The 14,575-nt window shown below is 62.6% G+C and overlaps 1 protein-coding gene across 7 annotated transcripts in view, besides 2 other annotated features; it reads left to right on the forward strand.

Annotated features, from left to right (window-relative positions):
• Positions 1 to 13,330, forward strand: part of INF2 (inverted formin 2) — a 41,403-nt gene extending 28,073 nt beyond the window's left edge. For 3 of the 7 annotated variants that reach the window (NM_001426863.1, NM_001426864.1, NM_022489.4), the window contains exons 11-23: positions 76 to 178; positions 415 to 500; positions 883 to 983; positions 1,732 to 1,802; positions 1,874 to 1,981; positions 2,424 to 2,494; positions 3,228 to 3,348; positions 3,623 to 3,787; positions 4,002 to 4,104; positions 4,240 to 4,401; positions 4,998 to 5,651; positions 6,079 to 6,135; positions 9,590 to 13,330. In NM_001426863.1, the coding sequence (NP_001413792.1) occupies positions 76 to 178; positions 415 to 500; positions 883 to 983; positions 1,732 to 1,802; positions 1,874 to 1,981; positions 2,424 to 2,494; positions 3,228 to 3,348; positions 3,623 to 3,787; positions 4,002 to 4,104; positions 4,240 to 4,401; positions 4,998 to 5,651; positions 6,079 to 6,134 (1,801 nt within the window). In that variant the 3' untranslated portion in view covers position 6,135; positions 9,590 to 13,330. Of the gene's footprint in view, positions 1 to 75; positions 179 to 414; positions 501 to 882; positions 984 to 1,731; positions 1,803 to 1,873; positions 1,982 to 2,423; positions 2,495 to 3,227; positions 3,349 to 3,622; positions 3,788 to 4,001; positions 4,105 to 4,239; positions 4,402 to 4,997; positions 5,652 to 6,078; positions 6,136 to 8,357; positions 8,442 to 9,589 lie in introns of all 7 variants that reach the window. The other 4 variants (NM_001426865.1, NM_001031714.4, NR_190061.1 and 1 more) reach the window with 3 other exon arrangements.
• Positions 5,471 to 6,410: an enhancer, noted in NCBI's record as "H3K4me1 hESC enhancer chr14:105181013-105181952 (GRCh37/hg19 assembly coordinates)". NCBI's record gives its function as "activates a minimal SCP1, AML or CMV promoter by ChIP-STARR-seq in primed H9 embryonic stem cells {active_cell/tissue: H9 hESC(primed)}" and the evidence as "EXISTENCE:reporter gene assay evidence [ECO:0000049][PMID:30033119]".
• Positions 12,775 to 13,274: an enhancer, noted in NCBI's record as "ENSG00000185100_14:104259362-104259861 (NCBI36/hg18 genome assembly) insert fragment". NCBI's record gives its function as "drives selective reporter gene expression in differentiated C2C12 myotubes {active_cell/tissue: C2C12}" and the evidence as "EXISTENCE:reporter gene assay evidence [ECO:0000049][PMID:22144875]".

Genomic DNA, 14,575 nt, shown 5'->3' on the forward strand with positions numbered 1-14,575 from the left:
GGTGGGGTCCCAAAGAGGCTGGGTGGGGGTGACTCATGATTCACTCACCCCTGCCCGGTCCTCTCCCTGCTCCAGCTCCAACGAGGAGGTCGCTGCTATGATCCGGGCTGGAGATACCACCAAGTTTGATGTGGAGGTTCTCAAACAACTCCTTAAGCTCCTTCCCGAGAAGCACGAGGTAAGAGGACCACCCCCACACCCCACCCCCAGTTAGTGCCACCAACCAAGGGAGAGGCTGTCCCGGGGGCTCCCAGCAGGGAGACAGAGAAGGGAGGCATCCCAGCCCTACCTCTGCCCTGAACCGTGAGCCACAGGGAGCCATGATGGGCACTGGAGGGGCTGAGCCCGGCGGGCAGTCCGGGAGGGCGGGAAGCTGGCATGGGGGGATCCCACATGCCGTTCTCCTCCTGGCAGATTGAAAACCTGCGGGCATTCACAGAGGAGCGAGCCAAGCTGGCCAGCGCCGACCACTTCTACCTCCTCCTGCTGGCCATTCCCTGGTGAGCATGGCCGCCCTCAGACCCCAGGGCCTGGGCCCCAGGTGGGAGGAGAGCAGGAATAGGGAGCAGGGCCCAGCCAGGGAGGAGAAGAGGCTGTGCCAATGGCTGCCCCGGGCTCCAGGAGCAGCATTGCAGCGGTTGGGCTTCTAAACATCACTCGAGCCCCACCCCCAGTCCTTCCCCTCAAAGTGTGGGGCTGGAGGCCTCTGGAGGAATTGGATCCTGCTCTGCGCAGGCCCGGGAGGGTGCCTGTTGGATGGGGCAGGCGGTGGAAACCCCCTCCCTTTGCCCACCACCCAAGCCAGAGCCCTGTGCTGAGTGCCCCTCTGGCAGGGACAGGTGGGGGGTGCAGGCCACTGATCCCTGTCTGTGCCATCCCCAGCTACCAGCTGCGAATCGAGTGCATGCTGCTGTGTGAGGGCGCGGCCGCCGTGCTGGACATGGTGCGGCCCAAGGCCCAGCTGGTGCTGGCTGCCTGCGAAAGTGAGTGGGGCCAAGCGGGGCACGTGTGCAGGAGGGACAGGCCTCCGAACCGGGGCGGGAGGGCTGCTCGGGGCCCCTGCTACTGCCAGTATCATAATGGCTGCTAAGAGCACCTAAGGGTGCCAGCCTTCACCACCACTCCGGAAACCACCCTGCTGCCACCACCTCGGTGCACACACCTACTGGACGCACAGACACACGCATGCCCACCGCCACTCGGGCACGTGCACACACACAAGCACACTGCCACTCTCCGGCACGCGCACACACAAGCACACCGCCACTCAGGCACGTGCACACACGCATGCACACCGCCACTCGGGCACGTGCACACACACAAGCCCACAAGCACAGTCACACACATGCACACAGGACACACAGACACACGTACACACCCCCCCAACACACACACCCTCACATACATGTACAGACATAAGTGCACACACACGGGCACCATCTCTGAAAGGGGAATCCATGGGGACCTGCCACAGCCACTGGGCAGGGAGAGGGACAGGTACGGACCAGTGAGGCACAGCTCACGTCTGTCAGGCACACTGTAGGTGTCCACTCCCGTCGGTGGAGGGTTTGCAGCCCCCAGGCCCTGTCCTGTGATCCTTCCGGTGCTGGGCTGAGCCTGGGGAGGAGCCAGGGAGTGCAGGGGCACTGGCAAGCAGGACCACACCCCACCGCCAGGGCATCTGGGGGCTCCGAACCAAGAGCCCCTCTCCAGCCCTGGCTGCCCCTGCAGGCCTGCTCACCAGCCGCCAGCTGCCCATCTTCTGCCAGCTGATCCTGAGAATTGGGAACTTCCTCAACTACGTAAGTCAGGGGCAGCTCCCCATCCCACCTGGTGCCAGGGGCTGGTGAGACTCACTCCCTGCCCCTCCCAGGGCAGCCACACCGGTGACGCCGACGGCTTCAAGATCAGCACATTGCTGAAGCTCACGGAGACCAAGTCCCAGCAGAACCGCGTGACGCTGCTGCACCACGTGCTGGAGGTGGGCCGTGGTGGCGGGGGCATAATGGGAGGGCTTCAAGTCCCCCCGGACCTGGGGTGTAGAGGCGTAGAGGCCATACCCCCATGCCCACCACTCAGGCCGCCGGTCTCCCTGTCTCAGGGCTCCGTCTAGAGCCAGCAGCCTCAGTCAGAGCCACGCCCCCACCCCTCCCAGCACCCCTTCCTTCCTGCAGCACTGGCTCCCCTGCACGAGCCTTGTCCCTCCCCAGGATACCTGTCCCTGATCTGGGGGACAGTCCCTAGGAAAAGCAGAAACATCACAAAGTCATAGCCAGGCCCAAGGGAAAGATTTGAGGGTCTGGAGTACTGGGGGTTTTCTGGACCTTAATTGCTAAGGGTTAGAGCTGGGGGAGTGGGAACAGGGTCATCCCCAGGTGGAGAGTATGACCACAGTGGATCTCACTGGACGTGTCCCATTGCAGGAAGCGGAAAAGAGCCACCCCGACCTCCTGCAGCTGCCCCGGGACCTGGAACAGCCCTCGCAAGCAGCAGGGTAGGTAGCTCCTGCCAGCCCGCCCACCTCAGCCAGGTGGGGGCCTGACTTCTGTCCCCAGGCAGTGAGGTGGCTGCCCGCCAGGGCTGGGTCTCACAGCTGCAGCGCAGCCCCGGCGCCACGGAGCCCTGCCCAATAGAACACTTCCCTTTTGGGACAGGACCGGGTCTGCCGTGGCCTATCCCCTTCTGACTTAAGCGAGGAAACAGGCCTAGAGTGGGCAAGGGCTGGCCAGGTCAGGGTCACACCACGGGCAGGTCTAATACAGCCCCTTCACAAGGTGGACCTTCACGACAGCCGTGAGCAGGCTCGGGCCTCCCTCATTGTATAGATGAGGAAACGGAGGCCCAGGAAAGCAGTGTCACCTCCTGGGTCACACAACCCAGGCAGGAGGGCAGCCTGGGCCACCCCACTACACAGTCCGGGCCCCTAGCACGGAGTTCTTCCCGGGCTCCACCTGCCCTGGAAGGTTCTCTGGCTCAGGAGCTGCTCAGCCTTGGGGAGAACTAGGCAAGCAGGACAGGCTGACCGTTAGGGTCCCCGCCCAGATGCTCACAGGGGGCTGAGGGTCAGCTGGAACAGGCACTCAACCCCAACACTGCACGTGCAGCCTCAGAGTACAGCCTGCAGGGTGCACAGTGGGGTGCCGGGGGGTGCAGGGGAGGGGCTCCCCTGTCCCAGCGAGGCTGACGTCAGCCGTTGCTGTCTCTGCCCGGCCCTCCTCACCTTTCAGGATCAACCTGGAGATCATCCGCTCAGAGGCCAGCTCCAACCTGAAGAAGCTTCTGGAGACCGAGCGGAAGGTGTCTGCCTCCGTGGCCGAGGTCCAGGAGCAGTACACCGAGCGCCTCCAGGCAAGTGGGCACCTGGGCCTGGGGCTGGCGGGAGAGGCTGCCCTGATAGAGTGAGCTGGGCGAGTGGCTGTGCTGTCTCCTGGCTCCAGGGTGGATCCTGGGGCCCGAGTTTCCCCAGGTGTGCATGGTCAGGGCACAGGCCCCTGCTCCTTGTCAGAGACCACCGTCCTCAGGGCCTGTCCCTGTGGCCGTCACCCTCCCGCAACTCAGGGCCTCACCCCGGGTGGTGCCCGCGCGGGGCTCTCACGGGACTGTCACGTGCCCTTGCCCCCAGGCCAGCATCTCGGCCTTCCGGGCACTGGATGAGCTGTTTGAGGCCATCGAGCAGAAGCAACGGGAGCTGGCCGACTACCTGTGTGAGGACGCCCAGCAGCTGTCCCTGGAGGACACGTTCAGCACCATGAAGGCTTTCCGGGACCTTTTCCTCCGCGCCCTGAAGGTGGGGCAGCCCGGCGGGACACAGCCTGTCTGGCTAGAGTGGGGTCCCGAGGCCCCTGGCCTTCCTCCGGCAGGATGGGCAGAGGCACCTTTCGTCGGGCCGACACAGCCATGTGGGCCCTGCGCTGCTGCGGCTCAGGGAGGGGGACGCCCAGGCCCATGGAGCCCCTGAGGGATGCCACGCTGGGGTGACGGGGCCACATCTGCCAGTGCAGGAGAACAAGGACCGGAAGGAGCAGGCGGCGAAGGCAGAGAGGAGGAAGCAGCAGCTGGCGGAGGAGGAGGCGCGGCGGCCTCGGGGAGAGGACGGGAAGCCTGGTGAGGCTGGGCCGGCTGGGCGGGGAGGGGGTGACTCTGGGATCCTTGTCTGTGCTCCAGCCTCCCCACCACCCCCAGCCCTCTAGGTGGGCTCCAGGGTCCCATGCCGCTCTCTGAGTGCCCCACGCTCCTCAGTCAGGAAGGGGCCCGGGAAGCAGGAGGAGGTGTGTGTCATCGATGCCCTGCTGGCTGACATCAGGAAGGGCTTCCAGCTGCGGAAGACAGCCCGGGGCCGCGGGGACACCGACGGGGGCAGCAAGGCAGCCTCCATGGATCCCCCAAGAGCCACAGAGCCTGGTAAGACCCTCTCCCACTGCCTCCTCATGGTCCCCTTGCCACTGTCCCTACCCTGTGCCTCCAGGAAGTCCTCCTGACTTCACTGGAAAGCCCTCTCCTCTCCCTGGGCCACCCTGGAGGCCCCTAAGACTGGGGACAGCCGAGGGGACAGGTGGTGGCCGCTCAGCCCTCATCCCTCCCTCCACTCACTCCAGCTCCTCCACTGTAACCGCAGGCCCTGCCCTCAGTGCTGAAGCAGCAGTCCAGCCCGCTGGGCTCCAGAGAGATGAGGCCAGGCCCACTGACCGATGCCCTTGGGCTCAGAGGGTGCTAGAGGTGGCAGGAAAGGCAGGCGGCAAGGCCCTGGTGGGAGGACCCCATTCCTGGGGTGGCTGCCTCAGGGTGCTGGGAATGGCATGGCCCAGTGTCCCCCACCCTGCCACAGTGTAGACAGACCAAGGACGCTGAGGCCGGGTCCTGCTCTGAGACATCAGAGGAGGCTTTCTGGGGAGGAGGTTTTGCAGGGCGTTCAGGTAGACAGCGGAATGGAGGAGGCTGCACCTGGGCTGGCTCGGGGGCAGGGTGCCTGCCCTTCACTGGTGTGTCCCTCCATCCAGTGGCCACCAGTAACCCTGCAGGAGATCCCGTGGGCAGCACGCGCTGTCCCGCCTCTGAGCCCGGCCTTGATGCTACAACAGCCAGCGAGTCCCGGGGCTGGGACCTTGTAGACGCCGTGACCCCCGGCCCTCAGCCCACCCTGGAGCAGTTGGAGGAGGGTGGTCCACGGCCCCTGGAGAGGCGTTCTTCCTGGTATGTGGATGCCAGCGATGTCCTAACCACTGAGGATCCCCAGTGCCCCCAGCCCTTGGAGGGGGCCTGGCCGGTGACTCTGGGAGATGCTCAGGCCCTGAAGCCCCTCAAGTTCTCCAGCAACCAGCCCCCTGCAGCCGGAAGTTCAAGGCAAGATGCCAAGGATCCCACGTCCTTGCTGGGCGTCCTCCAGGCCGAGGCCGACAGCACAAGTGAGGGGCTGGAGGACGCTGTCCACAGCCGTGGTGCCAGACCCCCTGCAGCAGGCCCAGGTGGGGATGAGGACGAGGACGAGGAGGACACGGCCCCAGAGTCCGCACTGGACACATCCCTGGACAAGTCCTTCTCCGAGGATGCGGTGACCGACTCCTCGGGGTCGGGCACACTCCCCAGGGCCCGGGGCCGGGCCTCAAAGGGGACCGGGAAGCGAAGGAAGAAGCGTCCCTCCAGGAGCCAGGAAGGTAACTCAGGGAGGGGCCCCGGGCACCGTCCCACGCCAGGGCGCTGGCACCCAGCCGGTCCCTCCCCTTCCCCATTGGGCACTGCAAGTTCCAGCGGCACCCAGGAGAGGTGACTTGGGTGCGGCACGGGAGAGGAGGCGGCAGTGCGTCCACCGCAGGGCGGCTATGTGGGCTGCCGCGGCCCGTGCAACTATTCCTCCAACCTACTAATTCCGACCTTCACGCCACCTCCGTTAGGGAGTAGGGGGCGGACACCGGGCACCAGGTCCCAGGCAAGTGGCTGCCATGTGGCTTAGTGGCCAGAGAACCGGGCAGCCCTCAGAGGGTGTTGGCATGGCTGTCCCGGGCCCCCCAGCCCCACCCACTCCGAGTCAGGGTTGCTTCTGTGTGATAAGCCGTTGAGTGCGTTTCTTTTATTTGGAAGCAGAGGTTCCCCCTGATTCTGATGATAATAAAACAAAGAAACTGTGTGTGATCCAGTAAGGTATGTACGCAGCCGGCGCTCCGTGGGGGCTAACAGCAGCTGCAGGGCAGTGGGGCTGGAGCTTGCTGCCCACACCCCTCCGGGACACTAACCTGGCTTCTCTCCAGCCCGCGTGGTGCGTCAGTGTGGCCTTGCCGCTCCCGCAGCCCTGGTGGTGGGCTTCCCGCCCCATCCCCTCCCTCTCCGCAGGTTACCTGCTCAACTGGTGCCTCCTGCAGGCAGGACGCAACCTCAGTGCTGGCCCCGGGCATGCGGGCCTCGAGAGGGCAGGTGGCAGGGCCAGCCGGACTCCCTTAGCAAGCAGGATCCGGGCCCTGGGGCGTGGGCGGGACCTCCTGGCTGGCAGGACAGGCTGAGGTTGCTCCTGTCTGGTGTCCTGGCGCTAACTGCAGTTCCAGTAACCCTGTGGCTTTCCTGCTCTGTCTGTTGGTGGAGGGCTATCTTCACTCTAAGTGTGTCAATGGCGTGGGGCCTTCTGGGGCATGTCCCCAGGAAGTCTGTGAGGAGACCGGGACAGTCGCAAGGGCAGATGCTGCCAGGGACAAGTACACTGCAACCCCCCTCCTGTTGGACAGTGTCCTCCCACCCCGAGGCCATGGGTGGGTCTATGGAGAAGCAGATTACCCCCCGCACACCGAGTCTTCTGGGGGGCGACCAGCCAAAGGTCAATCAGCCAGGTCCGTCCACAGGGCTGGAGAGGCCAATGCATCCAGCTAGACAGGACCAGCCTGCACTGGGTGGAGGAGGGGCTAGAGCAGAGAACCAGAAGGTCCAGCCCGGCCGATCATGAGCTCTGTGAGCCCAGGTCGTGGCGTCTTCCAGCACCTCCAGCCTTGCTCAGAGCCAGCCCGGTGTCGGTGCATCACAAATATGCTGACCGCTGGGCCTGGGGCTTAGGCTCAAGGTGCACACCTGAGGTCTGCTGGTGCCCATCAGAGGCAAGAGCAGTCGTGACCCCGGAGAAGCTTCTCCGGACAGCTTGTCCTCGCTGTTGGGGCACGGCCTTCACCCTGGGTTCCAGCTTTTGCTTCCAGGGTCATCTTCCGAGTGTGGCTCTCTGGTGTGAAGCACCCACGTGTACTTTTTAGAAAGGTGCTGGCATCTCCCTTAGAGGCTGGAACTTGGACTTGCTGGCCCTGAGTGTGAGGAACAGTGGAGCATGCAGGTCTGGGGCGGGCGGCCACATCTGACAATGGTCCAGTGAAAGATGGACGTGTCCAGTGCCAGCTCCACGCTCCACCTGGTTCCCTCCTGAACCTGCTACACGTGCTTAGCCTCCACCCGCCCCAGCTCCTGCCACGCACGTGGCTGAGGGCAAGAGGAAGAAGTCCTCTTCTCTCCCCAACTTTTTATTTTTTATTTTTTTTCAAGACGGAGTCTCACTCTGTTGCCCAGGCTGGAGTGCAGTGGTGCGATCTGAGCTCACAGCAACCTCCACCTTCCAGGTTCAAGTGATTCTCCTGCCTCAGCCTCCCGAGTAGCTGGGACCACAGGCACACGCCACCACGCGCGGCTAATTTTTTGTATTTTTAGCAGAGACAGGGTTTCACCATGTTGGTCAGGCTGGTCTCGAACTCCTGACCTCAGGTGATCCACCCGCCTCGGCCTCCCAAAGTGCTGGGATTACAGGCGTGAGCCACCGTGCCCAGCCCCCACCTTTTTATTTAGAAAATCTTCAACACCACAGGAAACTGCATAGATCAGAATGAACAACACCTTCTCCCCGAAATTACAACCATTTGCCAAAAATACCAAAATTGTGACCATTTTGCTACATTGCCCCCCTCCAACTGAGGCATCTGAGAGTTTCTTATAAACATCATGGCACTGGAGCCCTAAACTCGCCCACAGACACCTGAGAGCACAGCCGTCTTCCTCAGTCCCCCCCGGGCAGGGTGCGCTGCCGTCCTCCCAGTCCGCCCCCACCGGGCAGGGTGCGCTGCCGTCCTCCCAGTCCCCCCCCCGGGCAGGGCGCGCTGCCGTCCTCCTAGTCCGCCCCCCCGGGCAGGGTGCGCTGCCGTCCTCCCAGTCCCCCCCGGGCAGGGTCCGCTGTGGGGCGCTTCACGTCCACATGCTTCTAATACTCGGTCCCAGTGCAGATGTGCCACTTGCCCCAATAATTCCTTCTCTAGTTGTTGCTTTGTTGTTTTTGCAAACAAGATTGTATCCAGAGTCACATGCTGTGTTTGGTTATCATATCACTTCAGTCTCTTTTGTTCTAGAACATTCCTGCCCCTTTTTGTCTTGTATGACATTGACGTTCTGGAAGATAACTTCACTTTGGGTTTGCCTGATTGCGCCCCCAAGTAGGTCCAGGTTGAGTTTTGGGGCAGGAGTTCTACCCCAAGGGATGCCATGTCCTCCCCAGCTGGGTGGGGACGTTTGTGGCAGCAGCGCTGACCACGGCTGCGGGGGTGGTTTCTGAACCTCCACTGCACGAACACCACGCTGTCTGGTTAATAAGCACCGGTGGTGACCTGTGGAACCAACCGCTGCAGCGCGGTTCTGTGTTCGCCGCCCCTCGTCCGAGCGTTCCCCCCTCCCCTCCCTTTTTCCATCACGTGAGTTTTGAACGTGCAGTAATCCTTCACTGCCACTGCCGTGCATTTGATGGGGACCAGCGGGGGCCCTGAGCGCTTCCCATCTTTGGCACAAGCCCCTGTTCCTAGCTCACCCCAGACTTGCTGATCCCCCCATCCCTGCACGGGCCTTGGTCTTGGCCATTTCTCCAGGTTCCCTGAGTGGGGAATGGTGCTGAGACCCTCCTTTGAGTGATTGTTTTGGATAGTTTTTGTTTTCTTGCTGTCTGTTTAGAGTAGTGGTTCTCAAACCCTGCTTGGGCCATCCCACTGGGGAGCTGGGACACCACCTGGCACTGTGGTGGCAGTGGGGGTGACACTCAGACAAGGGCCATCGAGGGCCCCTGGACCAGAAAGCGAAGAGGGCGTTGGGGGCAGGAGGCCTGTGGGGCCATGTGTGGGGGCCGTCTGGGTGGCGGGAGCTGTTGGGGCAGGGCTGAGCGCCCTCAGCAGCCCACTGGAGAAAGCGCTGCTGGGGTCCTCGTGTGGGGCCCAGGGCCCGACGTGGAAGCAATGGAGGGCTGCAGGGGGTGGCAGTGGGGATGAATGAGTAAGGACAGAGTGCAGCCTGGGTCTCAGACAGGGGGTGGGGGACAGGCCACAGAGATTCCCTATCTCAGCAGAGAGGAGACAGGCTCAGGCTGCCACGCCTTGCCAAAACCCAGCCTGGCCAGGCCAGCCCGGCACCTTCCACCTAGATAAGTTGTGCTGCTCCAGAGAAAGAGCCTGGGGTCAGAGTGGACCTGCGATGCATGGCACAACCTGCTGGACAGTGGCGATGAGGGGTTCAGGGACCTGGGCACCCAGAAGCGGGCACCTGATATTGTACCCAGCAAAACTGCTCCTAATAATGTCATTTTTTCTCTCTCTTACAGGCCTCAGGCCCAGGCCCAAGGCCAAGTGAGAGAGCCCAGGCCACAGGACATGCTGCCATTCTGCCAAGAGAGGCTCTTCTGGGGGCCAGGCTGGGACTGGGCCCCGGAAACCAAAACTCCGTGCCTTACCCAGCCGGGGCCCTCCTGGAGCCTTCTTGGGGTGTTGTGGCTGGGAACCCGACAGGCACCAGTGCCCTGCCAGGCCTGGTGCCCTCCTGGACCGCCTGCACGTGCCAGCCTCCCACCTGCTTCCTAAAGGCAACCCTGGCCCACACCCGCATGCGCCCGGTGCAGCCTGCCAAGGGCCAGTCGGGGGGTGCTGCGTCCTGCCAGTGTCCACCACAGCTCTGCCTGCCCTTCAGCCCAGCAAGGTTTAATCAAAATGCAATGCTTTGCAAGTCTTTACTGCTTGGAGGTGGCTGAGTTGGGGGCCCTGGGCAGGGGTAAGCTGGCAGGCAGTGCCATGGCAGGCCAGGGTCCCCTCCCATGGGGTCTGGCCCCCGTTCCAGCATGTCCAGCCCCTGAAGTTGGAGTGGGGGGCGGTCTGCCTTTGCTGCCACTGCCAGGCCTCTGCCCTGCAGCTGAAACTTGGCCATCACATCAACAGAAAACCCCTCCCAGTGCCAGCTGCCCAGCGTGGGCAGGCCCTGGGGACAATACAGGTCCACCTGAGGGGCTGCAGGGTGACACCCAGCAGCCGCTGCCCCCTCACTGCCCACCCAGCGAGGGCAGCCTACCCGAGCCTGCCCCCTGCCAGGTGTGTGCCCTGAGGCTGGCGGCTGGATGCGTGGCCAATAAAAAGCAGACCTAGCCCGGTGTGCGACTGTCGTGTTCAGAGGCTGCGGGAGTGGGCGGTGGACGTGGGCTCCCACAAACATGGTGAGCGCTGGACAGGCCCCGTGTGAACACTCACTGTTGAGGGGCCCCCAGGCCCCGTGTGAACACTCACTGTTGAGGGGTCCCTGGGCCCCCAGGCACCGTGTGAGCATTCACTGTTGAGGGTCCCCCAGTCCCCCAGGCCAGGGGCTGTCCCTGGAGCCCTCAGGAGGCAGTAAGAAACATCTAGAAGAGGGCAGACCCAGTGGTGAACCGCATCCAACAGTGGTGAGATGGGTGCAGCTCTACAGGGGCGTAATTTACAAACCACCAGACTCCCTGGTTATGTGTGTGCTGCGGTGGTGTTTGCTCTCCAGCAGATCAAGTTTGTGCAATGATCCATTTTGAGAATCTCTCCGTCACCCCAAGAAGTCCTCTCGCACCCATCAGTCCGACCCCTTCCCCGTGCTCCTCCCCAGCCCTGGCAGCCACTCACCTGCACTCCAGACGCTCCAGATGTCATGCATGTCTCCTGGCTTCCTTCGGCTGTTTTCACGCGCCATCCTCACGGCAGGCTGTATCAGGACTTCATTCCATTTCATGGCTGAAGCACATTCCATTGCATGCAGGGACCACATTTTGTTTGTCTGCTCTTCTGTCCATGGACATCTGGGTTGCTTCCAGTTTGGGGCTTCTGTGAATCCTGCTGCTGTGGACATTTGCGTAGTCCTCGTGTGGATGCTGCTGTGGACGTCTGCGTCGTCCTCGTGTGGATGCTGCTGTGGACGTCTGCGTCGTCCTCGTGTGGATGCTGCTGTGGACGTCTGCGTAGTCTCGTGTGGATGCTGCTGTGGACGTCTGCGTCGTCCTCGTGTGGATGCTGCTGTGGACATCTGCGTAGTCTCGTGTGGATGCTGCTGTGAACGTCTGCGTAGTCTCGTGTGGATGCTGCTGTGGACGTCTGCGTAGTCTCGTGTGGATGCTGCTGTGCACGTCTGCGTCGTCCTCGTGTGGATGCTGCTGTGGACGTCTGCGTCGTCCTCGTGTGGATGCTGCTGTGGACGTCTGCGTCGTCCTCGTGTGGATGCTGCTGTGGACGTCTGCGTCGTCTCGTGTGGATGCTGCTGTGGACGTCTGCGTCGTCTCGTGTGGATGCTGCTGTGGACGTCTGCGTCGTCTCGTGTGGATGCTGCTGTGGACGTCTGCGTCGTCCTCGTGTGGATGCTGCTGTGGACGTCTGCGTCGTCTCGTGTGGATGCTGCTGTGGACGTCTGCGTCGTCCTCGTGTGGATGCTGCTGTGGACGTCTGCGTCGTCCTCGTGTGGATGCTGCTGTGGACGTCTGCGTCGTCCTCGTGTGGATGCTGCTGTGGACGTCTGCGTCGTCCTCCTGTGGATGCTGCTGTGGACGTCTGCGTCGTCCTCGTGTGGATGCTGCTGTGGACGTCTGCGTAGTCTCGTGTGGATGCTGCTGTGGACGTCTGCGTAGTCTCGTGTGGATGCTGCTGTGGACGTCTGCGTCGTCCTCGATGCTGCTGTGGACGTCTGCGTCGTCCTCGTGTGGATGCTGCTATGGACGTCTGCGTAGTCTCGTGTGGATGCTGCTGTGGACGTCTGCGTCGTCCTCGTGTGGATGCTGCTGTGGACGTCTGCGTAGTCTCGTGTGGATGCTGCTGTGGACGTCTGCGTAGTCTCGTGTGGATGCTGCTGTGGACGTCTGCGTCGTCCTCGTGTGGATGCTGCTGTGGACGTCTGCGTAGTCTCGTGTGGATGCTGCTGTGGACGTCTGCGTCGTCCTCGTGTGGATGCTGCTGTGGACGTCTGTGTAGTCTCATGTGGATGCTGCGAGTTTTCGTTGCTCTGGGGTAGATTCGTAGCGGAGGAACAACTGGGCGACACGCTAAGTTTATGTTTAACTTTTTAAGTAACTGCCTAACTGTTTTCCAAAGCAGCTGCACCATTTTTCATTCCCATCCATGCTATTGTTTTTCAGTTAAATAGCTCCACTCCTCCCCCTCCCCACCCTCCACAGAACTGCCAGTAAAACTGGACTATGGAGTATTGGGTGGGGTCACCTACAAGGTCATCTGCAGCAAGTGAGACCATCGCCCCTCCTGCCTGGAGAGGTGGGACTGGGGACCCTGTGACAGGAGGAGCTGCCCTTCCTGGAGCCTGGTTTTTCTTTTTCCTCTGTGCTCCATGAGAAGTCAGTTTAGTGGGCTACAGCCAGCAAAGGAACCAAAACCAACAGGAGCTCTGGGGGTGCCTTGCATGGCGAGGCTCCGTGGCTGCACGCGTGTATGCAGGTGGCTGTGGGTGTCTGTGTGTCCTGGGCCACTGTGTGCGATGGTCCCACTGGGAGGTGTGGCCCCCAAAGAGTGGAACCCACAGGTGGACACACCCATGCACCCTCGTTCTTGCCCAAGGTCACACATCGAGACAGCAGGGCCCAGATGGATGGCCCCAAGCTCGGTGGCTCCCGTGCTGCCCACACCTGGGGACAGGCCCACTGTGGGGGGTAAGGGGTGGAGGTGTTCTAATTCGGGCTGAGCCGTGTGACTGGCAGGGGCCCCAGCTGTTGGGCCTGGGCAGGACTGTTTTTAGAAAAGCCCCAACTCCCTGCCCCTACCCGGGCCCGTGGCTATTTATAGTCCGGGCCTGGAGAAGTCAGTGAGTCACTAGCGTTCGCCTCTGCAGGGTCAGTCCAAGCCCCCTTAGTGAGGTGGTCTAGCATGTCCCCCAGTCCCCCAAGCCTCTATCTGACATCTGCTAGCCCAGAGCCCCAGGGGTCCCCAGGAAGGGCTCAGAGCTGGTGGCCCCCCCCAGGCCTTGGCAGCACCTCCTTGTCTGATGGGACTTTGTGGTTCCTGGTGGACATTTAACATTGTCGGTTTCTCTCATCTGGAAACAAACCTCCATGACGCTCTTGGTTTCTCCTGTTGCAGTCTGCCTCTTCCCTACCTGCACAGCTCTCTGCTGTGCCCCAAATTCCCTCCTTGACACCCCCAGACCCACTGCCCCACCCTCAGGTGCAGCCCCTTCTCAGCAGGCTCCAGGTTCTGCCAAATCTCAGAGCCCTCCAACCCTGCTCCAGCCCCTTCCCAAGCTGGGGCCGGTGGTCTGTTCACCCCCGACCAGCTGTCACCCCCAAGGTGGCACTAGGAAGTTCATGCATGAAGACTGCTTTTCCACTGAGGCCCCACTGACTGCTTGGAACCCATACAACGGCATTTTCCCCGCAAGGATGCTGAGGGAGAGGAAGTGTCGATGTGCCCAGTGGAAGAAGAGGGGACTGGGGACATGGGTGCAGGGGGCAGGAGGCCAGGCTTCAAACAGCCCCTCTCCCCCAGGCTGGGGCACGGTCAGGTGCCAAGAGAGGAGGGGTGGGGAGGCTGCAGGCAGGGGTGGGCAGTGGTGTCCTTGGCTGCACCTGAATCACTAACTCAGTGTGAGCGACCTTTGCTGTGACAGGCCCAAGCTCCACTCCTTCCTCACAGGGAGTGTCCCGTCTCCATGGACTCCCTGTCACTAGCCTTGGAGTTGCCCTGAGCCCAAGGGGCCTCGTGGCTCCAGGCTCTTTGGCAACTGAGAGCCGTCAGGGAGGGAACAAAGGACCCCGCCTCCCTGCTCTGAAGCAAGAACCTGATTCTCTTTTCCGCCCTTGGGGCCCCAGGACCCTTCTCTTGGCCACCAGGGCTGGCTTCCTCCAAGCCTCATCTACTTGGGAGGGGTGGGGCGGGATGGGTGAGACAGGACAACCAGCCGGGAACACGGGAGCCTCGCAGACCATCGCCTCCCTCTGGGGCCTAGTCCCTCCACAGGCTGGGCCGGGAAGGTCTGGTGTGGGACCTCTTGGGAACCTGGGCCCCACGGTGGCGTGCATCCCTGGGGGTTGCTCCCATGCCAGCCAGGTGACGCTGACAGGATGGGTCCCTTTACCCCAGACTTGGGTGCTGAGGGCCGGAGCTCCATGCTGGAGCCCGCCTGCTCGCTACAGCCAGGCCCGAGCCACAGCGCGCCCGGGCGGGACGCGGGGCCCCTGCCGTGGGGCAGAAGTGCGGGCAGTTGCGGGGACACAAAGTCCTCGGAGAGGACGCGCTGCGCGGCTCTTCGCGGCCGCCAGGGGGCGCGCCCGCGCCCAGGGCACTCGGGGTTCCACGGGGGGCAGGTG

This window comes from Homo sapiens, chromosome 14, assembly GCF_000001405.40.
Source record: "Homo sapiens chromosome 14, GRCh38.p14 Primary Assembly".
Lineage (NCBI taxonomy): Eukaryota > Metazoa > Chordata > Mammalia > Primates > Hominidae > Homo > Homo sapiens.